Here is a 27,338-nt window from a genome sequence, read left to right on the forward strand (position 1 = left end):
AAAAAGGAAATTCTAAATCTTCTCATTCTACACTTAATGTTGAGAGTCGCCCTCACCGCACAGAAGAGTTGAAATATCTCTAAAGACTACAGTCGCGCTGCCCTATGTGGTTAGGTTTTGTGCATGTTAATGATGAAATGAATTGTGGAGGGTTGAAAGCAAGGCTGTGTAAAGAAGCTGATGAACGTGGGTTCCCAAAGCAAAATTCACAAAAGACTCATCAGATTAGGAGGCATAAATGAAAGAATCTATAGGGCTTTTGTTCCAAAGCACAGAGATTCCTTTCTCCCTTTTCATTCATTCATTCATTCATTCATTCATTCATTCATTCATTCATCAGTAGATACTGGTTGTGTACTGGTAGCTTGGGCTGTCAGGGGATGAGGAGGTATGGTGTGTGATCTGTGGGTCATGGATGGGAAAACCCCAAACTTTCAAGGGGCTCATCTTGAACTAAAGGTACAATCAAGGTAGGTCTGGTAGAAAAATTTCACTGGCCTAGCAGGAAGAAGCAGAGGAAGAGATGAGCCTGCAGGATGTGCACGACTTCCAAACACAGGCACTTTCATCTTTCAAGTGAAAAAAGCAGGAGTTTGTTTTAAATCTATGGCCAGCTATTACATACCTGTATAAACTTAACTCTCAGCTGGGCATGGTGGCTCATGACTGTAATCCCAGCACTTAAGGAGGCCAAGGCAGGAAGATCACCTGAGGTCAGGAGTTTGAGACCAGCCTGGCCAATGGTGAAACCCCATCTCTACTGAAAATACAAAAAAATTAGTCGGACATGGTGGCACACACCTGTACTCCCTGCTATTTGGGAGGCTGAGACAGGAGAATCACATGAACCCGGGAGGTAGAGGTTTCAGTGAGCTGAGATCCTGCCACTGCACTCCAACCTGGGTGTCAGAGTGAAACTCCATCTCAAAAAACAAAAACAAAAAAACTTAGCTCTCTTAAGTCTTATAATTAGAGCAGTCCTCCATCACTGTGGCAGAAGAAAAAAACCAGTCAGTTAGACAGTGAAGGCTGGTTGTTGGAGATGCAGCCGGCCTGAAAAATCACAGCTACAGGCAAAAATAGAGCAGCCTGGGAAAAGTCAGTCTGCACCTGGACAGATGAGCAAGCAGGATTCAGCACAGAAGCCTTCTGTTCTTTGCGTGATTAGCGAGCTCCCAGGAAAAATTTCCTCCCTTTTTCAGGCATATACCCAGTGGGCTCCATAGGAACTCACACAGGGAGGAGGGGGCCTTCCTAAAACAAATCCACAGTTATACAAACAAGAGAAGTGGTACTTTGTACTTGCCTAGGGACATAACCACAACAACATAAATAAGGGGTAGTTATGCAGACAGCTTTACAGATTAGAAAAGTGACTCAAACAGCTAGAGAGATAAGAGGAGTTTCTCATAAAAGCTTTGTAATTCAGCTGTCAAAGCAGCAACCCATTTGAGATCCCCTCTGCCTTGTGAAAAGCTTTCTTCTCTCGCTTATTAAACTTTCACTCCAACCTCACCCTTTGTGGCCACGCCCCTTAATTTTCTTGGTCATGAGACAATAAGCTTGGATAACACCTTAGACAACCAGACCACTGACCTTGATCTGTTTAATTATCAAACTGCAAGTTTCCTGAGGCTGTCAGGGAAATTCTCCCATTCCTTGTCATGATCTCTCTCTTTTTCTTCCTGCACTTGCTGAACTCTTGCTGATGCCCTGACAGTGAGCAGAGGGGAGGGTAATAATGAACAGGACTTTGGGTGGATCTGATATAGTCAGAGGGCATGGATTTCTTGCTTTGCCCAGTGTTTGTTTTTACTTTTATTTTTTAACATCTAGAACTTTGGGTAGAACTTGCCCTCTCGAATTCACCAAAACCTTGAACATTTTCTATCACCATGACAGGGTCCCACCAGGAAACAGATGTCATTTGGAGAAGAAGCCAGTCAGGCAAGGCTACTTTCAAAGGCTCTGTTTGCAAAAGGGTGAATCTGGGGACACCACCAGGGACAGGGCAGTGGCAGGGGAAGGAGTCGCCACTGAGCTGTGGCTGCTTTCTGCACTGAAGGCAACAAGGGGCACAAGTTGGTGCTGAAATCCAGAGGGACATGAACGCACAAGGTCACCCTCTGCAAAGAGCTGTGACCTCTGATTTTTGTGCCTTGGAGCAGAGACAGCTTCAGGGGGCTGCAGGAGGCAGCTCAGCCTTCCATCCATACCCTGGTGCTTCCCACGGGCAGAATACAGGAGCTGCTAGCAGTGTCCACCCCTGTCTGGCTTTGGTGAAGCCAGCACTGGATGAAAACTTCTTAACGGGGACAGCCTCACACTCTACAGTGAACAGATAATTCCCTGGCCACTGCTGTCACTTCTTTTACTCCCAGGGGAGTCTTCTGAAAAAGAACGATCATAAACAAACAAAAATGTCCAGCTTACAGAATAAAAAATACTAAGATGGAAGCAAACAGAGGGGGCTGTGGAACAAGAGCTAACAGTGCCTGCAGACCCTGAGCTAGACATTTTCCATAAATCTTCTGTCATATCCGCAACAAAACCCTTAGTTGGGGAAAGGATTATATCACTTCTGCAAGAGAGGTTTGTGTGCTTGGATCTAATCTCTAGAATCTCAAGAACTGTGGTCTCCCAGAGGAACCCAGATCTTGGGGTGAAGCAGAAGTGGAGAGACTCAAGTTAATGGAATGGCTTGAAAAGGAATGAGGCCTCCACTGAAGGCACCAGCACTTCACTCCCTGCAGACAGAAGATGAAATCCTCATGTCAGCAATAGGCATGTGGGCAGCCAGTGTCACCTTGGGTATCAAGAACGTAAAGCACTTTCATACTCAGTCTCCTACAGATGGTAAAGGATTCATGAGGTGCTGAAGAGGAAACGGGGCTCATGGTGGGAACGCCTAAGGCACGCATGACGCGCTGGAACGTGGCCTGGCCTGTGCCTACCTCCCCTACCGTTCGCCCCGTGTGGTTCACTTCCCTCCATTTACTATGGAAGGCTCCTAAGGTGAACAGAATGCCCACTGCATGCCACACTCTGCAACAGGCAGTTTACACCCCTCTTGATTTATCGGAGTGACAACCCTATGGAAAGGATTACTATTTTATTAATAATTGTGTAAGCGATGACATTTGAACTTGAATAAGGCATATACTTGCACAGCTATTGAATGCTTGCCTGTCGCTTCAAACCCTATGTCCTTTCATCAGTGAAACAATTTCATTTTCTCTGTCATACCTTTCTTTGGAATGACACATTACCATTGATTACCTTCCTCATCTTAGAAGGCTCAAGGTTTCCATTCCTCATTTTCCCTAATGATTAATTCCCATGCTTGACAAATACTTTAATACCGTTAAAAGAAAGGACAGAACGCTAATACCAAATGAGTCATTATGCATATGTCAATTTGTGTTCAGATGAGGACAGAAGAGATATTCTCCTTATTACAAAAGAAAAAAAGCTCTGCCTCAATCTTACAGTAGCAGAAAAATCTGATGCCCAAATGATCGGATATCCAACCTGATATTGATTTAATGTAAGAGTTTGGCCGGATATGTGGTTCTACATTGAACTTTAGATCATTTGTGCAGGGTTTTATCATAAAAATCATTTTCAAACTACTGTAAATACTATATCTCCCTCTACAGAACATTCTATACTAAAAGCTAACAATATCAAAATGTTAAAATTTTATTTTTAAAAAACCCTTTATTCCTTCTACTGTTTCTCAGATTTTTTTCCCTTCAGTTTTCCCATCCTTTTCCAATCTAATTTCATTAAAGGGTGACTGGCTGTGATTATTCAATAGAAAGTGCCATGCAAACATTTACAGATTGATTTTTTTTTTCTTTTGGAAGTGGGAGACACCTAAGACCAGAGGGGTAGTCAGAGTATGGTAGCTCCTCTCTGCCTCTGAGGCCCAGGGGACATGTTTACCTCTCTGTCCTCTCAACCTGCGCAGGACTGAGCACAGACTATGGATTATTGTCACACAAGCAATTGTCAGGAAATCCTAAAGTGATAAAGATGTAGGTCAATCTATAGTATCGTTGTCAAAAGATTGTGATTGTTTCTTTTATTAGTTTTAGCAGAATATTTGTTGCATATAAAACCTCATGCAGAAGTCTGCTCTAGCATGCAGATGTAAACAGAATTGACCCGAGAGGGTTCAGATGTCCATCCCAGCCCTTCCACTAATTGCTAGGCAACGGAAAAACAATATGCACAGATGCAAAACACCGGGGACAGGCGCACCCACAGAGCAAGGCTAGAAACATCACATGAAAAGATTGCCAGGGAAGCATAGAAAACACAACCCAATGGGTAGAAAGTCCTAGAAGAAGCGTGAGCAGAAAACGGCCCCTACAGGAAGTCAACCCACTTGGTATCTCAGTAGACGGTACTCATCTCTCGTTTGTAAGAAAAGCAAACCCTCAGTGAAGCTGGTACCCAGTAACTGTTATGACATGTGTAAGGTCGTGTGGGGAGCAAAACCAGTGGAGAGCTGACTGCACCTGCAGAGAAAGAAGGGTCTGCATAGTGAGTCTCCAAGGAGCACATAGGCTGTTGGCTTTCAGCTAAAGGACAAAGGGCCCTTCTGGCAGAGAAGCACCATGACCCAGTCCAGGCATGGTCAGGGCTTCCTATGGCTGAGTGATGACGATGGGCATTTAGGAGAAGGCACCAAAATGGCAGGTGTGGGAGACACCTTCATTCCTCCCACAGCTATTGATCTGGTATCTACCAGGTCCTGGGCACGTGCAAAAGTCATCAGCCAGACATGTCTGCAGATCTTGTTTTCTCTTTGGAAGGACGTAGACATTGCCCGAAAGCTACTTTACTCTCCAGGCAGTGAATGGTCAATAATATTTCAATAGACAAAAGACAAAAACCAACTTCTCCTTTGCAGAGATCAGTCTGGTCTGGTGTGTGTGGGGTGTGCAAGGACGGAGAGAGACTGGTATGAAAATGACTGACCGTGTCACATATACTTAAGAGAGACATCTGGAGGGTCCAGTCTCAGACAGTGATCAGGGCAGACGTGACACATGGTTAGGAGTTAGAACCACCACGACATTCCTCCGTAACAAAGTGAAGTTAGTGCATGTTCTTTCTCCCAGAAAATACTTTTGGATATAGAAAAGAAGGAAGAGATAACGTGGGGAAGGTGGTGGGTGGGATCGCTTCTTAACTGCTCCATTCTCTCCTCTGCTTACAAGGGCGTATCAATCCTCAGATAGAAAGGAAAGGGACTCACAGACAGAGTTTTTATGGCTTCCATCCTTGCTGGGCAGCATCTTGACTCCTCTTGACTTCAACTCAATCGCCTTTTTCACTGGAAGAAACAAAACCAAGCCATTAGCAGGTAAGACTTGGAGATCATAAAACCATGTTGTATCCACACAGCACTTCCAGTCATAACTGCTTTCTATCAACCCCCGAAAATGGGAAATGTTCTAAGAGGTGAATGATACCAAGTCAATGAAGTCAAAGAGCTTGTAAATAATTATTGTGAGGCTATCAAGCAGCAAGATCACATCTTACAGCATCAGTGTCGGAAGCTAAAAATAATACGTGCTGCCACTGACTTTACACATCCAATCCTATTTACCACTAGGAGTGGCAGATTCCACCAATCATTATCATTCCCCAAATTGTTCAGGCAGATCACTCACTTCATGTATCTATCCTGACTACAGAGTTGTCTAAGTTTGCTATAATCATGAAAAAAAGTTTAGATAAAAAGGCCAGTTGCTCATTCATGTATTCATATATTCATTTACTCACAGTTTAGCGAATCTGTGTGGGTGGGGAGCAAGTAGAGGAAAGGCATGCTCTACGTGCTGTAGATAAAGTGCTAGACACCACCAGTCCCTCCAGACGCTTTCCAGGCTGTGCAAAAGGCACAGAGGTCCTGGCTTCTAGCATCATCATTCTGAGAGTTAAATATGTTTCTTGATGTACTACGGCCTGCATTAAACATTTTAAGAAGTTTCATTTTTTTTTTTTGGTCACTTACGGAAAAAAAATGGGGGATGCATCTTGTGATTATAGAATATAAAATGTTATGATCTTCTAAGCTATCCCACACTTGGCTTTACTAAGTGCCCAGTGGAAACATTTCTGAGGTCCCCATATGAGACTGGACCTACAGCAGCTGCGAGCAGGCAGATCGGCTCCAAATCTTTGCTTACAACAGGGTGGCCCCATGACCTAGGTAAGTTACTTGCCTCTGAGCCTGTGACTCTATGTGTAAATAGCTGTGAGGGTTAGTTTTATGTGTGAACCTGACTGCACCACAAGGTGCTCAGACATTGGGCCAGAGGAGATTCTGGGGGTGTCTGTGAGAATGTCATGGATGATATTAACATTTGAATCAGCTGACTCAGGAAAGAAGATGGCTCTCCCCAGTGTGGGTGGGCCTGGTCCAGTCAGATGAAGGCCCAAATAGAACAAAAGGCTGATCTGCCCCAGTAGAGGCAAGACTTCCTCCTGCCTGATGGGCTTTAAATTGCAGCAGCATGTTTTTTTTTTTTTTTTTTTTTTTTTTTTTCCCTGCTTTCTGCTTTCTGACTGGAGCTAAAACACCGGCTTTCCTGGTCTCCAACTTGCTGACTTACCCCTTTCAGGTCTTCGGTCTTGTCAGCTTCATAATCATGTGAGTCAGTTCCTTATAGTAAATCTGTGTGTGTACGTGTGTGTGTGTGTGTGTACACATGCACATAAGGAGATTCATATAGATATGAAGTATATACAGGAGACCCCTGAAGCATACAAGGGGTTGGGGCACTGACCAACCCCCAACCCCCACACACAGCTGAAAACCTGATTATATCTTTTGGCTCCCCCAAAAACCTAAATGAAAATAGCCCACTCTTGACCAGATGCCTTACCAATAACATAAACAGTTACTTAACATATAGACTCATATCTACATATATTTTACGCATTCATGACACACCTTTTTGGATTTTTTTCCTGATATTTTTAGGCTATAAGAGTTGTCTGCAAGTTTTTTGTTTTTAATTGTCGCAAATTTCCAAAAAATGCTTCTATACATTCATTGAACAGAGTCTAAAAATAAGTGGATCCATGCAGTTTAAACCTATGCTGCTCAAGGGTTAACTGTATAAATAAATCTATCTATACACACTCAGGCACACACACATACCCACGACCAACTGGCTTTGTTTCTCTGGAGAACTCTGACGAAATACAATGCCAGGATGCCAAGACTGTGTAAGGCTGGAGACGATCAATGCACCATCTTTAGTATGGTGTCCTGAGCCCAGCCAACTCAGTAACCGACTGTGTGTGGCAGTGATTGTTACTCTTTTCAAATCACTGACATTCAGAGGGCTGGGCTTAGGTGGACAATTGCCCTTTGGGACTGTCTTCCCTCACTGATGTCACTAAGCACCTGCTTCCTCTCTGGTCTTCCTGTGCTTGGCCCCTGTGTATTCTGACACACCTGGAGACCATGCCTCTTGGACTCTACCCCTCAGAGTCCCTGAAACCATGTGTTAGCCTCTTTGCAGCGACACTGTGCAGTATTTTTCACTTCAGGAGGCATCCTCCAACCTTCCAAAAGCCATCTGAGATAGGAATTATGACACCGCCAGCTCATATCAGGAAGCAAGGCTCACAGATGCACAGGGAAGACTATGCAGAATTTGAACTGAAATCTTCCAGCCCCAAACTCCAAACCTTTCCACGTGGGCTACTGGCTGGGGAGCATGGAGACAGGAGGGCAGGGCTGCAGGAGCTGGTCCACCTGGAAGGAGGAGGGTGAGATCCCGAAGCAATGCCGCCAGCTGTGCTTCTGTATCATGCCTTGACCTTGGACTTCCCAGTATCAAGAGCGGTGAGAAACACATATTATGTCTAAACTGCCAAGTCTGAGATATTTTCCTATAGCAAATGTTTGCTATATTTCCTATAGCAATATTTTCCCCAAAAGACAGCACTTCTCCTGGGTATTTTAAAAGGGTAAGAGGGAGAAACGAGAGACTGGAAGGAACATACAAACTTTGAGGAGCTTTTCCCAACAGTGTAGCTTAGCAATGAAGAAATAAGTCCAATGTGGTTACATGGCTGGAAAAAACTGTTGTCATCAGAGCCATGAATAGACCACAGGGATCCTGGCATTGACTCTTGTGGAAGACGAGGAGGTGGGCCACCCAGATCCCCCTCCAAGGAAGGGCTGGCCAGAGGGTGGCTGTTCATCTTCAGCCCGTTTCAGAGAAAGCCCAGAGACAGACAGTCACCTATCCCAGGCTCACAACGTCCAGCCCAGGTCCAACCCCAACCAAAGGGCGCTGGTTCATGAACGTCCTGCACTACGGAACTCTCAGAGAGGGACTTGCTCTGGTGCAACCACGGCACCTGGCGTCTTCCTCCTCTTCTCTTCTGCCTCTTCATGTGTGTGTTTTCTCATCCTCATCTCTGTGTTGTGGTGACAAATATCACAGGAAAGGGAACACGAGATGGGGTATCTGCTTCCACTTCTGCGGTTCTCCTGGTGGCACACTCAGAAGTCCTCTGCCAGCTCTCCCCAGGATAATGCTTTCATCCAAAATGGCAAACGTATCACCCCCACTATCTTGTGCTGAAATAACTTTATCTTGAAGTTACTCAGGAGAGAGGAGATGAATGCACAATAAATAACAAATAAGAAAATCAATGGGAAATAATAAAGAGCATAGAACTCAACGCAAATGTCACTCACCCTAAACAGATAAGACAAACAGAGATCTGTTTACTCAGAATCTAAACAGAAAATTCGAGTAGTCTCTCAGGGACGATCAAGGTATGCGAATAGACAGGACCTATCTGAAAGCTGGATGAGCTAATAAATTTCGTACTCTTGCAAACAAGTGTTTGATGCTCTGTAAAGCTACGTCTCCACTAGGGAATATATGTATTTATTTATTATTTTTCAACAAGACAGTGTTATACTGATGTAGACTATCTGCTCTCCTGAGTTGTAATTTGTTTCAAGTTACTACGTTCTCTTATTGGACAGCTCTGCTAATCTTGGCAACGTTGTACAAAAAGGGAAGGTGACTTGTGGGTCCAGGGTCCACCCGGTGTCTGGACACTTCTCCCCACACGTTTTTTGGGTTCTCCTCTTTTCTTCCTTCCACACCCTTCCCTCGCCTCTTCCTCCCTCCAACTGCCCTCAGAGCTGAGCAGAGATTTTCATTTGCAAAGAAACAGGAGAGAGAGAGAGAGAGAGAGAGAGACAGACAGACAGACAGACAGACAGACAGACAGACAGACAGACAGAGAGAGAGAGAAACTAGAGCTGCAGGAATGCAGGAGAAAGGTAAGTCACCTATGGCAAATCCCTGCAATAGCCTCTTCTTTCTCCTGAATTAAACTATTGAGTCATTCATTCTCAGATCTTCGAATGAATGATAAAAATATTTCGTGATTGATGACAAAACATAGCTTTTGTGTCTAATCTCAGACCTGCTAAGTCACAATCTTCGGAGGTGAGCTTGGTTTAGCTTTGTTAGTCCAGTTATCTAGTTTTCATATGAGTTTCTGTTTTGTTTTATTGTGTGGAAGATAACTTCAATGCACGCCAAAGTTAGTCTCACATTCCCTGGTGTCTGTTGGGTAAGGTGATTCCTTAGTAATTCAGATTCAACAATTTCAAATACATTGTGGTCTACAGAGGCCAGGGCTGGGGGACCTGGGGAGATGCTGGTCAAAAGATGGACAATTTCAGTTTGACAGAAGGAATAAGTTCAAGAGATCCCTGATACATCATTGTGACTGTAGTTAATAACAATGTATTGTGTGCTTCAAAGGTGCTGAGAGTTGACTTTAGGTTTTCTCATCGCAAACCAAGAAGTATGTGAGGTTAAAAAAAAAATTCCCCAAAAGCAACAAACAAAAACTTGAAATAAATATGACGAATCTCTTTTCTGATAACAACATTTAGGAAGATAAATTATGGGGGAAATATTTTTAGTTTAAGGGCTGAAAAATCAAAAACCACCACAATAAATATACCTAAGGGATACATTAATTTTGTTGTGTCATTTACTTTAGTTTTCCTTTTTTCTCCTACATCAGCTGCCTTCACTATAATCTCTAAGTGGTTAGGTTAAAACTCACTTTCTGTAGGTTGTTTGAAAATGTGACGAAACCATTACTATATTTGAATGGCAGTGGATTCTTATTACTGTTTTTAAAATGGCAATAATGTAAGAAGTGAATACAACTATTGCTACTTGATGCCACTTCTTTCTCTGCCCTCTCTAGCTGGAGCGTCCTGCCCTCCTCTGTAGCCCCTGGGAAAGCTCAGCCTGCTCCCCTGTCCCTCCCTGTAATCCCTCTGCCCCAGCCCCCACAGCCAGACATCTGCCTTCCTCAAGATCCACTGAACTTCCAAGACCTCTCTTAGGAAACCAAGTCGTATCTTCTGCTCTTAATACACCCGTACCGTCCTTCATTAGATAATATGACTCACTGTCTGAAAGAAGCTTTACCTATAAAGGGAGATCAGATAACCCCAAACAAATAAATAAAATGCAAAATTCTTTCAAACAAATGTAACGTACTCAATATGAGGAGATGCCATTGCAAATCCTCACAAATCACAGAGGAAATTGTTTTGTGTATAGAGACCAACTACTTGCAAATTTGAAGAATTCAGAGTTTGGGAGAAATGGGTGAAAAATATAAATCTTGTGTCTTCAACTTTTCATTAACTTGCATGTTTACTGTAATTTTATCAATGCCTCTTCCAGGCAAAAAGTTTTATTTAAGTACTGCACCAAAAGAATATTTACTACTATTGGTAGCAATAATATTGAAATCTTTGTAAATCCTTAGAATTGCAAGGGCTCACTATGCAGATAGATAGATAGATAGATAGATAGATAGATAGATGTCCACATACACACATATGTATATAATCATGTATATATATAAATGTATAAAATATAAGTATATAACATATAAGTTTATACGTATTTAGAAAGTTAATAACATATTACATATTATATATGTATATAATAAGCTCCATATATAACATATAAATGAATCTATTAAGCTCCCAATGTCAGACATACTATTGTTCTCTAATTTAATTTGTCTTACAATTATTTAATCAATAGATTTCTGTTAAATTTGAGAAGTAATCACATTCCATAAGCTACTAATCTTTTATATTTACCTTTTCTTTTTATAGTATCACAGCAAATGGAATTTCCAATTCCATCATATATATTAACTTACATTTGGGAAAACAGTGTATTTAGACTTTTTTGACCAGGCATGGTGGTTCACATCTGTAATCCCAGCACTTTGGGAGGCTGAGACAGGGGATCACATGAAGTTAGGAGTTCAACAGCAGCCTGGCCAACATGGCGAAACCCCATCTCTATCCCAAAAAAAAAAAAAAAAAAAATTAGCCCCAGCCAGGCATGGTGGCGGGCGACTGTAGTCCCAGCTAGTTGGGAGGCTGAGGAACTAGAATTGCTTGAACCCCGGAGGCAGAGTTTGCAGTGAGCCGAAACGGTGCCACTGTACTCCAGCCTGGGCCACACAGTGAGACCCTTTAGTTTCTCAAAAAAACAACAACACAAGAATTTTTTTAATGGCTTATTGGTTATTTGGAGCATTTTTTGTCTAGTTTATGATTGCAAGATAAAAATTAAACTGTTCTTGAATTATCTCAGAGCTTTATCAATTTTTTAAGTGAAACATGTTTTGAACACAACACACCTGGAGAAATCTCAATGGTTTACATTGTTTCGCTTTTACTCTAGGACTCTCTTTTTCTAGGAGCATTTACACTATAATAAATTATTTTCTAATATTAGAATTTAGAATTGCTTTCAAAATGTTTAACTTATTCATTAATAGACACAATTACATAATCCCCTTCCCCTCCAAATTTTAACATTTCTTCATTAGATTTTTTTGTGTTTTACACTGAGGAAGAGTCATCGAAATTCAGATCACCTTATATTTTAAACACACATTTAATTATTTTTTGCAAATTATTCATCAAAGTACCTGTATAGTTAAACACCCTAAGACCCATTAAATTTCTAAGTAAGCGTTGAGCCAATTTCCTATTCTCTGCTAATTATTGTTAACGTGTGATTTGTGCTGATACACTGTAAACATCAGTAGGAGCTATGTCTCTACTGTGGTTGTTTTCCTGAAGGATGGAACCATTTCACAGTCTAAAACCTGAGCCTCCAGGTCTGCCCTAAAGCTCATCACCTTGAAAATGTGGTTCCGTCATTTTTCTCCTCTTCTGCATGATCATTTTTTCTTTTCTGCATGATTAACCCAATTATAAAAATGTGTTGTTCCATTTCCCATCTTTACAAACTAAGACAAAGCAAGCAACCTTTTTTATTTAGTTTTAGCTTTTTGAGACAGAGTCTCACTCTGTCATCCACGCTGGAGTGCAGTGACACAATCTGGACTCACTGCAACCTCCACCTCCCGGGTTCAAGTGATTCTCCTGCCTTGGCCTCCTGAGTAGCCGGGATTACAGGCACCTGCCACCAAACCCACCTATTTTTTGTATTTTTAGTAGAGACACGGTTTCACCATGTTGGCCAAACTGGTCTCAAACTCCCGACCTCATGTGATCCTCCCGCCCTGGCCTCCCAAAGTGCTGGGATTGCAGGCATGAGCCACAGCGCCCGGCCTGCAAACAGCTTTTTAAAAGGCACACGGCCTGCAGACAGACAGGAATCTTTCCCTCCACATTCCTCTGCAGCTGCTGCAGCCCCTACTCCCTGTGGACATGATGGAGGAAACCCCTCAGATGAACGGTTCTCTTTGCATCTCTTCCCATTCTCTCTTAAATCTCATCAGCTGTAATTTCTCTGTTGCTAAATATTTTGGTCGAATGTCCACCCTCCTGTTCACTCTGAAACAATCAGCCACTTCCTCCTGAAAGCACTTTCTGCCCTTTGCTTCCAGAACTCCACCCTGTTTGGGTTCCTTCTAATTCACTGGCCGCTCCTTGTTCACAGGGATGGGTGTTGCCTATGGCACTTTACTATTTATTGCCATACTGTGGCTGGAAAGTGGTCCTGATCCAGACCCCAAGAGAGTGTTCTTGAATCTCATGCAAAACAGAATTCAGTGGGAGTCCACAGACTAAAGTGAAAGCAAGTTTATTGAGAAAATAGAGGAATAAAAGAAGGGCTACTCCATAGACAGAACAGTCTTGAAGGCCGCTGGTTGCCCATTTTTATGGTTATTTCTTGATGATATGCTAAACAAGGGGTGGATTATTCATGCCTCCCTTTTTTAGACCATATAGAGTAACTTTGTGATGCTGCATTCGTAAACTGTAAACTGTCATGGTGCTGATGTGAGTGCAGCAGTGAGGATGGCCAGAGTCACTCTCGTCCCCGTCTTGGTTTCGGGAGATTTGCGCCGGCTTCTTTACTGCAACCTATTTCATCAGGAAGGACTTTATGGCCTGTGTCTTGTGCTAACCTCCTCTCTCATCCTGTGACTAAGAGTTCCTTAACCTCCTGGGAATGCAGCCCAGCAGGCCTCAGCCTTACTTTCTCCAGCCCCTATTCAAGATGGAGTTGCTCTGGTTCAAACGCCTCTTGACAATATGGTTCAACTTTCCATTTAACTCTGTTGGTCACTTATCCGATGGAAGTATGGTAGTCATCTAATAAAACATTATCATCATCGGAATTATCAAGAGTAATAGTTTTAAAAAATATTTTGTACATGGTACTAAAATGCTGGAGTACATCCTATTTAATTCCACCAAAATGTTATAAGATTTATGCTACTCCTACAATCATTTACAAAAAAATAAAAAATTGAGGTACAAAGAACTTAAAAAATAAAGGTCACAAAGCTTGAAATGGTAGAAGCAGGGTTTGCTGTGGTGAAGTCTGATACTAGAACCTGCTGGCTTTACCATATCTCAACAGTCTGCTTCAGAAATTATAGCCCTGACTTTAACCACACCTTACACTTAAAATTTTTATTTTCGTCGATAATTATTACATTTTTTCATTGATAATTATTACATTTCAAAATTATATTAGTAAACGTACCTTTCCATTATGCTACATTTTTTAAATTCAGATTTTGATTAATCAACTCTTTCAACGCTTATCTCAGAAGTATTTTAATGAACTTGTATGTCAGTTGTTTAAATATGATTAAACATCTATTAATATTAGTCCCACTATAATAAAAGATATACACTGAGTCACACAGTATTAATTTTGTTTTTCTTTTCCATGAAATGCTTTTTTTATCATTTATTGTAACTGTGAAATATTCATGAAGATATTGTTGTAGGACGTTCCCCTTAGTTCAGCTAAAAACAGGGTCCTTGTCACATGGCCATGAAAGATTAGGTTCACAGGTTATTGCAGAATATTTGAGAAAATTTTTAAATAATCAAGAAGAAAATGTAACTGTGTAAACCCATCACCACAGACAACCACTGTTAGAACGTTTATGTATTTATTATTAATGCTATGTGCATTGTATATATAAGTTGATAGGTGAAGACACTTAATATTGGTAGAATAAAAATAAAGTTGTTAATATTTATTATTCTGCCTTTATGACCTCTTTGAACAGTTTTCCTAAGGTATTTTTAATAGATTATTCATAATGTATTTAATTCCTTTATCATTAGAAATTAGTTTTTCTCACTTACTACAATTGTACATTACACCAATCACCTATCAAATTCTGCTCAGTTTCCAAGAATAATTTGCTAGAACTAGAATTCTTTAGTCAAGGCTGTTAATCTACTAGGCTAAACTGATTTCTAGAACTATAGGACCAGTTTACTTCACCTGATGTAAATAAGAATATCTTAACTAAAGCCTCTCTGCCCACATTGTTTTAGTACATAAAAGAAAATGTTCAGTAATTTGGTGGTTGAAAAATGCTATCTTATTTTTATTAACATTTAAAATAATGCGCTATTGGATCATTCTTTGGGATAAATCTATTATTGTCTCATGGTCTGTACATTACGAGAAGCGAGTTGTTAGTACAATAACTCTTTCTTTTTTTAAAGTCTGGAAACAGTTGTTGTCTTCACAAGGTTATTTTGACTGCAGCTCCCATTGTCAGCTTACAAATATTCAGGCATTCCTGCATTTTTTTTATTGGATTTTTGATGTCCTTGAATAGGGACTTTTGAGAAAAACTGACAACCAAGTTTTAAGAACTACATTATCAAATTTTATTTCTACCCTTAAATCAGTCAGTGTCCTTTCCTTGGTCAGGAAAATCATCCTCTGAAAGCCTGATGTTATAAGTCATCTTTTGCACCAGGAAAGACAGAGGTACTTACTTACAATGTGAACCATTTGTACTGTTGATATTCCTGATTGGTTATCAGAATCTTTTAATTTAATGTCGCTTAATAGCAGCACTAAATTAAAAGATAAATGTCTCATATATGAAGTTATAGTATTACATGAATCATTGTGTCAAGGTAGTATGGAGGATTAGCGTGAGAATGTCCACAAAACCTTGATGACTGAACTCTTTACTAATGTAAAGGGTAATTAGCATAAGATGCTTTACTGGAAGAAAGGCAATTAACTATTCATCTCACGTTTCCTTACCAAATCAGGGACCCCATTTAAATCACGTATTTCCCTGTGATTTAAGTTTTCAGACATAAGCAGGATTTAACTTGGAAGCAGGTGGAATTTAAAGATTGTTTTACTTAGTCTTGTAGTGATCTATCGGTTTACACCACCGGAGCCAATTTAAACCTTTTCCCTCCAAACAGAGGGAGAATAGAAGGAGCGAGAAGATAAGAAAGCGCAAAGGGGGAGGCAGAACAAGGGGTGAGACAACGCGCTCAGAAACAACATTCTTCCTGCACTCTACGTATTGAGATGTAGAAAACCCTCCTGAGGTGGAAAACAGAGGTGTCTCAGACGATTCGCAAATTCCAAGAAAGATTTTGTGTCCTGTTCTATTAACTCGTTCTTCTTTTCTATACTTCGTTGCATTAAAGTCTTTGCCACTATAATTTCCCAAATTTCCTACTGGGATTATCAAAAGCCTTCCAAGGTGTTCACCTTGCAAGGTGAACAACGTTTTTACAAAAACCCCAGTTTCAGCAAAAAGGCCACTGCCCTAGAGGCCCAGATAGCTGAGCTCCAATCTCACCCCTGAAATGTTCTGAAATCCTGAGCCACAGCCTCGGATTTTTTCATCTGTTAAAAGAAGGGCTTGAATTAACTACCCTAAAAGTCTAGTTTCTCATTCTTTTTCCAGGCACATAATGCAGAATCTCAAGAAAAGTGGGTGGTATTTAACTCAGAACAAAGTTCCCATTTTCCCTGGACCATTCATTACAATGAAGACTTTGGGAAAATTAACTTCAGTGACTTCTTTTGACATGTAAGAGCAATAATACATCTCTTGCAAGAGTGCTGTGATGAACGAAAAAGATGCTCTATGCACAGAGGAAAGTGCACTCTGGGTAGGGCGGTCAGATGAGCTTGGGGAAGTCCAGGGGTGTCATTCACATAGAACACACTGTAGCCCCCATACCAGCCACATATTATGTACAAATATATACTGGCTGCTTTCCATTCCTCCTGTGTGGAAGGCATTTCCAGTTCTACGTGTGTCCAGCTTTTGGATCTTTAACAGGAAAAATCTCCCTCACAGTGGGGATTTTGAAGTTAGTTGTAAGAAAGACTTAATCATTGTTCTGGAACTCATTAGAGATGTCACCTTGCCAGGTTAAAAATGCCTCTAAATCGCAGATTCCTCGTGTGTTTAATAAAGATGATCACCACCTGACCCTCAGAGCTGTGGTGAAGATTACATGACATGGCAAATAGAAGCACCTAGTGCAATGTCTAGCCTGTGTGGTTACACAAAGTGCATGGAAAATACTTCTCAGAAAATGAAGAACTTTCCAAGTCTTTGTTACATTCAACGTGGAATGTTAATGCAACTCTTTATTCAGCTTTTCCCGTTAAACTTCACCGCACACAGGAAGCTGGGGATGAACCTCTCCACTCCCCAAGTAAGACGTCCATGGAGTTGGAAACATGCCACGTCATCTTCACTTCCAATGGAGAAATTGGCACATCTTACCATTTAATCAATCAATAGAGCTTACAGAAGAAAAAAGAAAGGGGAGAGAGAGGAGAAGCTACTGGAAAGTGACTTTGGCAACTCCTGATACTGCTTCTGCCTTTTCTATCTATGGGAATAATAAAAGCTGTCCAGGCACAACAACCTCACTGTAAACTATTTCCTTTAAGCACTTCAACAGAATACATGTGTCCTTTCAGATCTGTGAACAACACATTCAACAATAACCACTTCCTTTCTGCTGCCATAGACCTTTTGTTGTCTCAACACTGGGGGCTAACCTTCTTAAACAGGGGTGACACTTCACAGTAGGAGAAACCTCACAGCATTGGTGGTCAAAGTCTTTATTCTTACACACACACACACACACACACACACACACACACACCAGCACATTTCTCCTTCATGACCCATGGGAAGCTTAAATGATACCTAGTTCCAGGCATGTACTCTAAGCCCTGGGAGATTCATTTTACAGAGCAAAGCTGTAACACCTTCAGATGCTGACACGATCCAAAACAGCTTCAGGAGATGTGAACATCTAACGTTTGAGACTTTTTTTTTCGAGAGTCTCGCTCTGTTGCCCAGGTTGAAGTGCAATGGCGTGATCTCGGCTCACTGCATGCAACCTCCGCTTCCCGGGTTCAAGTGTTTCTCCTGCCTCAGCCTCCCAACTAGCTGGGATTACAGGCACCCACCACTACACCCGGCTAATTTATTTTTTTTGTATTTTTAGTACAGACGGGGTTTCACCATGTTAGTCACGCTGGTCTCAAACTCCCGACCTTGGGTGATCTGCCCGCCTCGGCCTCCCAAAGTGCTGGGATTACAGGTGTGAGCCACCATGCCCGGCCAGTTGCGACTTTTGCATAATGGGAAGATCAGGTGGTCCTGAAACACCATTTTTTTTTCTCCAGCCTCTGCGTGATTTTCAAAGGAATGCAATTTTATTTGTGAAACTCCTAAATCCAATCATTTTTTTTCCTTTTATAAGCAGCAATGCCCCTCAAGGATCTGAGATGAGTGGCCACATATTCGGGTGTGTAAGTGAGTGTGTGTGGCTGTGGATTTTTACTAGTGACGGCAGATGAAAGTGAATCATCAACGTCTCTAGCCCAGGTTTTTAGGATCAGTCCCATGTTTCTGATTCCTCAGAAAACATCAAACAGTTAGCTGGCACATATGGGACTGAGTCCATTAGTTTAACATCGGTCACTAAGATAGCAAGGTAACTTACAGCATTCTAGAGCATGGCACAAAGAGAAACATATTCTTAGGATTTTTAAATTATTAAATTCCAGTGGTATTTCAGGTTCAAACTTATTTTCTCCTTTCTCAGTCCTACCTTAATTATTCTTATTTTGCAAATACCTTTATTTTGCTGTTTTCCTCCTCATGGTTTTGGAAGAGCTTCTTTAATTTCATTAAATAACATGTTAAATGAAAGTTAATGGGGTGAAAAATAAAGGAACAGAATTCTAAATTCTTTACATGAGGATAATAGAATTTCTCTCTGAATGGTCAATCTTCATCATAAGCCATTTTTTGAGAAATTAATTACAGGGAGTTTTCTGAGAGGCGCTGTATGAAGAAAATAGCAGAGAATGAAGTGCCCGTTAAGTAGCTGACTGTCCACAATGGGAAGTACTGATGCATCTACATGCCACAGGTGCACCCAAGGCCGTCCTCATCCCTCACCTCCTGCTGTCCCCAAGCCCCCCACAAGCCAGTACACATGGGTGGAGTTGGCACAGGTTGTACAAGTAGAGATGTGTCAGAAGCATAAGGAAGAGGCCGGGCAAAGTGGCTCATGCCTGTAATCTCAGCACTTTGGGAGGCCGAGGCAGGTGGATCACTTGAGGTCAGGAATTTGAGACTAAGAATGCAAAAATTAGCTGGGCATGGTGGCTGGCACCTGCAGGCCCACCTACTCGGGAGGCTGAGGCAGGAGAATTGCTTGACCAGGGAGGCAGAGATTGCAGTGAGTCGAGATCACACCACTGCACTCCAGCCTGGGCGACAGAGTGAGACTCCATCTCAAATAAATAAATAAATAGATATAATAGCTTGAGCTTTCATAAAATCTAAGACGAAGTTGAGGGTCACTTTAGGAATTTGAAAGCACAGTAGCTAAGAAATCAACATATAATTAAACTCCTAATCTTAAATAAATATTAAAAAGTGCTTGCCCCAACCTCAGACAGATCTGAAACCATTCTCTCCTGAAAAGCAGGGTCTGTCTTACCTTTGAGTTTTTCTCTGATCTATAACCCTTCTTACCTCTTGTCAATGTCTCCAAAATACTGCCATTAATAACTCACCTTAAAAGGACCCTGGTGGGAAAAGTCCCCATTAGTAAAACTGTTTGGTCCAGGCATGAAATGTGTATATTCCGCACAGAGTTCGGTAAATTGCCCTAGGATCAATTTTTCTGGATTCTAGATTACAAGCGAAAACTCTTGTCGTTAGGTTTTCTAATATTAGCATTAATGCTAGTCGTTAGCAGAATGCACCTGCACTTCTGCTGTGTAACAAGGAACGATGCTGGTCTTGAGGAAAAATATGTTTGAGATTCCCCGATTTCAGGGATGAACTAGCTGCTTTTTCATGGAACACCATTTTTACTTGAGAGACTAGCAAACTATTGTGTGTGTGCCAGTTTTTCTTGCCACATAAATTACTACCAACTTAAGAGCTTAAAGCAGCATTTTATCATTTCCCAATTCTGCAGGTGAAGCTCAGCTGGGCCCTCTGAGCTGGGTCTAACACTCAAGGAACTAGCGCAGCTGCTTTCTTCTCTTAGAGTCCTAAGGAAGAATCCTTTTTGACATTCAGTCAGGTTATTGGTGAAGTCCAATTCGGTGGTTCTAGGACTGAGGTTCCCATCTTCTTGCTGGCTAATGAAGGGGCCACTCGGGGCACTCAGGGAAGCTTGTGGCCATGGACCCTTCCCTGCCTTGTGACCCATCCATCAACAATGCAACGGGGACTGTCCCAATTCGAATCCTCCTCACACTCAAAACCTCTTCTCAGGAAAAAGTCCCTTTTAAGGGCTCATTTGATTAGGTCAGGGCCGCTGAGCACCATCTCCCTTTCTTAAAGTCAATTGAGCCATAAGCTAATCATAGGACAGAGAACACATCATATTCACTCAAGGAGGGTGCATTATCCAAGAGCATAGATCATGGGAAACTACCTTAGGATCCTGTGTATTCTCTTCAGATATTCCGAAAATCATAGTTGGGCATTTAGTCATATTTACTTAAAAATGAACAGTCAGCTATTGTTACCTAAACAATTATTAGATAGTCTTTTTGCCAATGATGAAATTCGGGTTTTCAAGAAAATATTAGAATTTTAGACAAGTAGTGTCTGTCTTTGTAACTTCCCAAAACTTAAAGACTTTTTTTGGTAAGAGCAGGGTGATATTAACACGTGTGCTTTTTTACTTATTGCACAATATCTAACTTATTTTTAGATACAGACACTAACATTTGAAAGAGATGCATAAAGTGAACCCATGATTTCAAAATGACCGCAACTTACTGCTACCAAATCACGGATGAGTAAAAATTTCATTCAAAATGCAAAATAGACCAACACGTTTTACTATAATAAAGTGCAAAAAGTTGACTTATATGGATGCAGATTCCATTTTGTAGCTAACTTTTAAGAAATAGCCATTTGTTAAGTTTAATGTTGTGTGAAAGAAAAATGTCCACTATTATCTAAGAGGGATATTAAAATACGCCTCTCTTTTTCAACTTTCTATCTGTGTAAACACAGATTTTGTTCATTGACTTCAACCAGAATAACAGAGCACAGCACATTAAATACGAAAGCAGATATGAGAAACCAGCCTCTTTCACCATGCCAGACGTTAAAAAGTTTTGCAAAAATAGAAAACAATGCTACCTCTTTTACTACTTTTTTTTTTTTATTATTATACTTTAAGTTTTAGGGTACATGTGCACATTGTGCAGGTTAGTTACATATGTATACATGTGCCATGCTGGTGTGCCGCACCCACTAACTCGTCATCTAGCATTAGGTATATCTCCCAATGCTATCCCGGGTTTTTGTTTGGTCAAATATACTTATTTTCATAAATATATATGTTAATTTCTAAAGGAGTATTGTCACTTTTAAATGAAGTGATAAACATTTAAAATTTTCTCTCAATGTAATTCTGAATATATTAAGTATTGGTAGCTATATAACCTTTAAAAAATGAAGCTGTTTGGGATTTTCAACCATTTTCAAAAGGGTCCTAAGGCTGAATGATCTGAGCACCCTTCCTCTGGGCTGGGAGAGGAATTAGGGAGGGGGAATGAGAATTGGCCTCTGGGTCACTCCCAGTATGCAGGAAGGACATTTACCCTGGGCTCAACCATGAGAATTCAGGGAGTCCATGAAATTAAATAGGAAAAGAAATGCATTTTTATTTACACTGCCTTCTAAGTGAAAATTAGTATTTTCTTCTGTTATGAGTGTAAGCAAAAAGCCATAAGAATACCAGCAGTACTTTGCCATCAGCAGAAACTGTAGGTATTTTCTTATCACATTAACGGTGATGGCAGATATCAGAAGCTTTACTTTAAAATTCAGACTATTGTCGCTATTAGATCTGCCATGGTAAAGAAGCACATGCCCCACTATGTACAAATTCTTTTTAAAATATGTTGATGACTATTTCAACGCAACTAGCTTTGTTTGGTATCCTAATATTTTATACAGCTATAAACGTTATTCTGGGAAGAGGCCCATTAACCTCTCCAGACGACTAGAGGAGTGAGGCAGGAGGTTAAGGGCCCTCAGCATAGCGGTTTGGAAGGTGAGTTTTCAGCAAAGGAGGTAGACACAGCAGATAGATAGGAAAGGGACTAAAGGAGGGAGCTGTGCCCTGAAGGCAAGGAGGTAGGTTCAAGGAAATGAAAGTGAAAAGAGATTAGTGTTGCTAGGAAGGCCCTCAAGGTGTGGGTTGAGAGGTAACCAATGAGTTTGGCAGGTCCAGGGCCATGAAGACCTGGACAAGTGCTATTTCAGTCATAGGGCAGGACAAACATATCCCTGCATGGACAGGGAAACAATGACAAAGAACCTGGATGACCAGGATAGACATCACTTGAACATTTTTATTTTTTAAAAGGAAGCAGAGATTTGGGACCAAAGCTGAAGGCGACTGTGGGGCCAAAGGAGAAATACCGGTGCTGATTTTGTGGGTGATATGAATGTGTATGTGTGTGTGTATGTGTATGTGGGTTTGTGTCCCTCCCATGAGCTGCTTGTATTAAGTAGAAACAGTTGAGGAGAGAGGAAGCCTGATGGCTTAGGAGAGAGAAGGTTTCAGGGAAGGAGTGATGTCCAAGCAACAGGATGGAGTGAGCAGTGGAGGACCCGGTCTCAGATGTGGCAGGGGCAGCCACCACTGCAATGAGAGAGTAGGCAGAGGGCCACATACCAACTGCTGTGTTGTTAGTGAGGGCAGAGTGGAAGGACTTGGGAACACGTGAAAACCATTGATCTAGGAATCTTTCAAGGACTGTGACTCAGTATCTCAACCCATGTATTCCACTTGCAGTGGATAAAAATACATCTACCATTATTAAACATGCCCTTGAAAAGATGGAGCCTACTCCTTCTTTCTTTGATAGTGGCCTGGACCTAATGACTCGCAAGCAATGAACAGAAAAAACAGTGGAAGTAATTGTGTGTGACTACGGAGACCGGGTCACTGCAAGTTCCTGCTGGCTCTTTCTCTCTTGAAGAATTATGCAGCTCTCAGGAAATCAACAGCCATGCCATGAGGGTACTCAAGCAGCCACCGGGAATGCCACCTAGTAAGGGACCTGAGGTCCCTGCCAACAGCCATGCAGGCACCGAGGCGTCCTGCCAATCTCCACACGAATCAGCTCTTGGAACTCAGCCTCCGTTGCCTGCAGCCCCAGCCAGCATTGACTGTAAACCCATGAGAGGCTGGGAAAGAACAGCCCAGCTAGGCTGCACATCGTCTCCCTTAAAAAATACGTGAGCTCAGACACCTTTCTTCATTAGGCCAATAATAATTCCGGTAATTTATTTGTAGCAATAGAACTAATCCACCACCATCTTTCAGGCTATAATATAAGTCTCTATAATTAGAAAGGATGGAATGAGATTGGTGACAAGGACAGGGGTCAGCAGGTATTGAATGTGTAGAGCCAGATGGGATGCTTTAAACCAGAGATGAGAGGCCAACTCTGAACACCTTTATTCTCTTGCATAGTTTGGGTCCAGTGTTTTTGAATCTTCATGTTTTCAGGAGAAGCAGGAAATCTGGATATTCATGTGAAGTTCCCTGTGTTACGAGGGTAGGTACATCAATCCTTTTTTATGTTCCATCATACAGGTGACATCAGTCTGTAGTTCTGGTTTGTGAGTGGTACGAGGTGTATATTTACCTATGGGCCCTTGAATACCAGAGGGAACTTGCCAGTCCAGTTCTCATTCCTGAGCCTTATTCTTAGCATGCCCTCTGATGGAAATGAGTTGTGCAAATATCTAATGTTTTAATAATCAGTTTGAGTCACTGTAAAGCAATGTCTCCCTGCCCAAAGATAGATTTCCTGTCCCGTTAAAAAACATGAGGAAATATCTGTTTAGCATCATACACAGATAACCTAACAATTAATGACTAAACTCTGAAGAATTACATTTATGAATATACATACCACCAGTAAACACTGTGAACACAAACCCTCAATATTTGCATTTATTTTCTCTTAGTTACTAATGGTAGCTATCCTTTTTTCTCTCTATATAAAGATAATGGCATTTAATGTTACCCAACTTACTACTATCCCATAATACCAATTATTTATGATATTAAACATGGTTAAAAAGTGTTTCATTTTAAAACCATACTTAGAGCAATGTGAATGTTTAATTTTAAATTGTGTTTATTTTCAAAGTTGCGTTTGACAATTATCACAAGAGGAAAACTAACCTCTGGAAAGTAATTCTACATACACATACCTTTGAGGCAGTCAGCTCATCTGCAGAGCCTCCCGCCTGAACGGTGGCACTGCAGTTCCCATAAATATACCTACAGAGGGTGCCAGAGAGCTGGCAGCCCCGCCCAGGTACCAAGTGGATACCTCAGCTCAGATGGGCTTTTCCTGTCTAATATTCTAACATGAGGGTGACCAATGTGTGCATTAAAAATGAATAAAGAGTAAGAAGCTAGAGCTCTCATGCACTGCTGGTGTGAATGTAAAATGAGGCAGCTGTCGTGAAAAAACAGTATGGAAGTTCCTCGAAAAAATACTAATAAAAATGAGCATATGATACTGCAATTCGACTTTTGCGTACACACCTGAAATAATGGAAAGCTGGGATTCAAGTAGATGTTTTTACACTCAAGTTTAAAACAGCATTATTTACAATAACCAAGGAGGGGCAGAAAGACTGTCCATAAACACATGAATGGATAAAGATAATGTGATCTGACCATATAATCGGTTATAATTTAGTCTTAAAAAGGAAGGAAACGCAGGTACATGCCACAGATGGGTGAGCTTTAGGGCAGTGCGCCAGGTGAAATATGCCTGTCACAAAAGGACAAATACTGTATGATTTCATCGATAATTAGATACTTAGAGTAGTCAAATTCAAAGAGCGGCAGGGAGGAGGGGGTATGGGTAATGAGAGTTTAATGGGTGCAGACTTTCAGTTTTGGAAATGCATGGTGGTGGAGGCTACACAACAGTGTGACTGTATTCAATGCCCCTGAATTGTACATTTGAAAGGGTTTGGCTATGACAGTGTCCGCACCCAAATCTCATCTTGAATTGTAGCTCCCATAATTCCCACGTGCGATGGGAGGGACCCAGTGGGAGATAAATGAATCATGGGTGCTGTTGCCCCCATACTGTTCTCATGGTAGTGAATAAGTCTCATGTGATCTGATGGTTTTACAAAGGGAAACCCCTTTCTCTTGGTTCTTATTCTCTCTTTGCCGCCACCATGTAAGACATCCCTTTGCTCTTCCTTCATCTTCCACCATGACTGTGAGGCCTCCCAGCCACGTGGAACTGGGAGTCCATTAAACCTCGTTCCTTTATCAATTACCCAGTATTGGGTATGTCTTTATCAGCAGCATGAAAACAGACTAATACAACATCTAAACGTTGTGAAGATGGTAAATTCTGTGTTAGGTTTATCGTAACAGAGTAGCAAATAATAAGTAAAATAATAAAACTTAGCACTTTTCTTTCAAAATAAATATAAACGTAGGTTTGCCTATGTTCCAAGAGCCTTTCAGTGGTGTGACTGACTTGCACATTAACCAAAGAAAAAGGGCATCTGTGGTAGAGACCACCATCCTGGAGCAGTCGTGTGGGGAGCACAGATGGAACAGAAGGAGAAAGTAGAAAGAGTGCTCTTGTAATCTTGCAAATGATGCAAGTTAAAATGGTGGGCATGGTCTGTCTTAAGTTATGGAGCTGAACTATTAATACATCTCAAATGTCAAATATGAGGTTTATTCAGCACATTGACTGATAATGCCCCCTTAATATTTCTAACATTAGTTCTTTTACTGAAGCAGATTCATGGACTAAGGCAGGGATACTGGCATCCACGTGGTTTTCAATCTATCACCGACTGCATTTTAAATCAATAATCCCAAAATAATGCAAATGAGTGCCGTTCGAATATCTGCAGGGCTGAGGTGGTAGAGTGTGATGCTACTGTCCTCTGTGGGGAGCCCCGCCAAACCGACCAGCAAAACTTCTAATCCAAAGTCTGGCCGTAATTCTCCACGTGATCTGAACATGTCAGCCAGGGAAGTAAAGGTTTCGAGCTAAAGTAGACAACTTTCAGAAAACTCACTTGTGGAACATTTAACTAACTCGTTCATGACAAGACTTACTGCCACGCAATAAGCAATGCCGTCTTAAAAAGACCTCAGGTCAGGCACACTCTTCCCTGCCTTTTTAATGACTGACGGCTTGCTACAGGAAGTGTTCACCTCCTGGCACAGGGCTCGTGCAGGGCAGATGCTGTCTGAGGGTGGGCTTCGGAGTGAGACTTTGCCAGTCTAGCTCTGCCACCACTCACTCGCCTTGGGCTCAGTTGTGCTCAGTCAGTTCTTAGGCACAACTCTCTGCATGTTAAAAGAGGGATATAATATCCGCCAGTAGATGAAATACATTTCAAGTGCTTGAACATAGAGGCAATATGTATCCCCAGCAAGACAGACTGTGGAACCTGCCCAAGAGGAATCGAAGTGGGCCTTGACAATGTCCAGAAGGTATCGGGTCAGTAAGACTTCATGACAACCTGCTGGAAGCCATTAGCAGATCTTAGTGTGGAAAGACGGTGAACTCAACTTAGAGGAAGCGATGGGGGCTACCAGCGAAGTGTTTAAAGATGAAACTCGCCTCTTCTTCTGCTAAGTCCCTATCACTTCCACCAAAGCTCAGAGGATTTTAAAAGCTCTCACCACAAAGACATAATTATTTCAGGTGATAGATATCCTGATGACCATGATTTCTTCATTCTACAGCATATTTATAAACAAGGCACCTTGCATATTCCATGTATTGAAGCACGTATCAAAACATCACACTGTACTCCCCAAATCTACAGAATTATTATTTGCCAATTCAAAGTAAAAAAAAAAAAAAAAAAAAAAAAAAAAAAAAAAAAAAACAAAAACAGAAGAACGGATACATAATAATGTTTCAAAAAGTTCAGAGGAGAAAAATCTTTGGTCGAAGCGCTGCAAGTGTTTCCACAGGTCCTCTACCTTAAGGCTGTGATTCTGCTCTCACCCCAAAAGAACTTTCCCGTTTGCAAAAGTAAACTACTTACAAGGAGACAATGTGATCATCCTGAAGGCTTCAAGTCCTTCCATTCCCCCAAAATCATGTCTCCAACAGGTAGGCAGAGAATGAGGCTTCCAGTTTGATTCCCCATATGGTTAAATTCGAGATGAGAAAATACCTTGAGCACATGGAGCCCCTTGGATGCATCATCCCTGACTCAGCCATTCCTTCATGTAGATAAATGAACACACTGATGCATTCTCCTCATGCTCCCAAAAAAATTTAAGGAGCGATTTTTTTTTTTTTTTTGCCCTGTGTCTGATCACCACTGAGCTGGGATAGAGCAAACCTCTAGGTTAGCAGAGCAAAGACTGCTGTCTAAGAAGGCTCTCAAGAGATCCATTA

General features: G+C 41.4%; 1 protein-coding gene across 3 annotated transcripts in view; it reads right to left on the minus strand.

Annotated features, from left to right (window-relative positions):
• CSMD1 (CUB and Sushi multiple domains 1) overlaps positions 1-27,338 on the minus strand; it is a 2,059,554-nt gene that overhangs the window by 767,784 nt on the left and 1,264,432 nt on the right. For all 3 annotated transcript variants that reach the window (XM_011534752.3, NM_033225.6, XM_017013731.2), the window contains exon 7: positions 5,270-5,347. In XM_011534752.3, coding sequence (XP_011533054.1) covers positions 5,270-5,347 — 78 coding nt within the window. The remainder of the gene's footprint in view (positions 1-5,269; positions 5,348-27,338) is intronic.

Source organism: Homo sapiens, chromosome 8 (genome assembly GCF_000001405.40).
Source record: "Homo sapiens chromosome 8, GRCh38.p14 Primary Assembly".
Classification (NCBI taxonomy): Eukaryota; Metazoa; Chordata; class Mammalia; order Primates; family Hominidae; genus Homo; species Homo sapiens.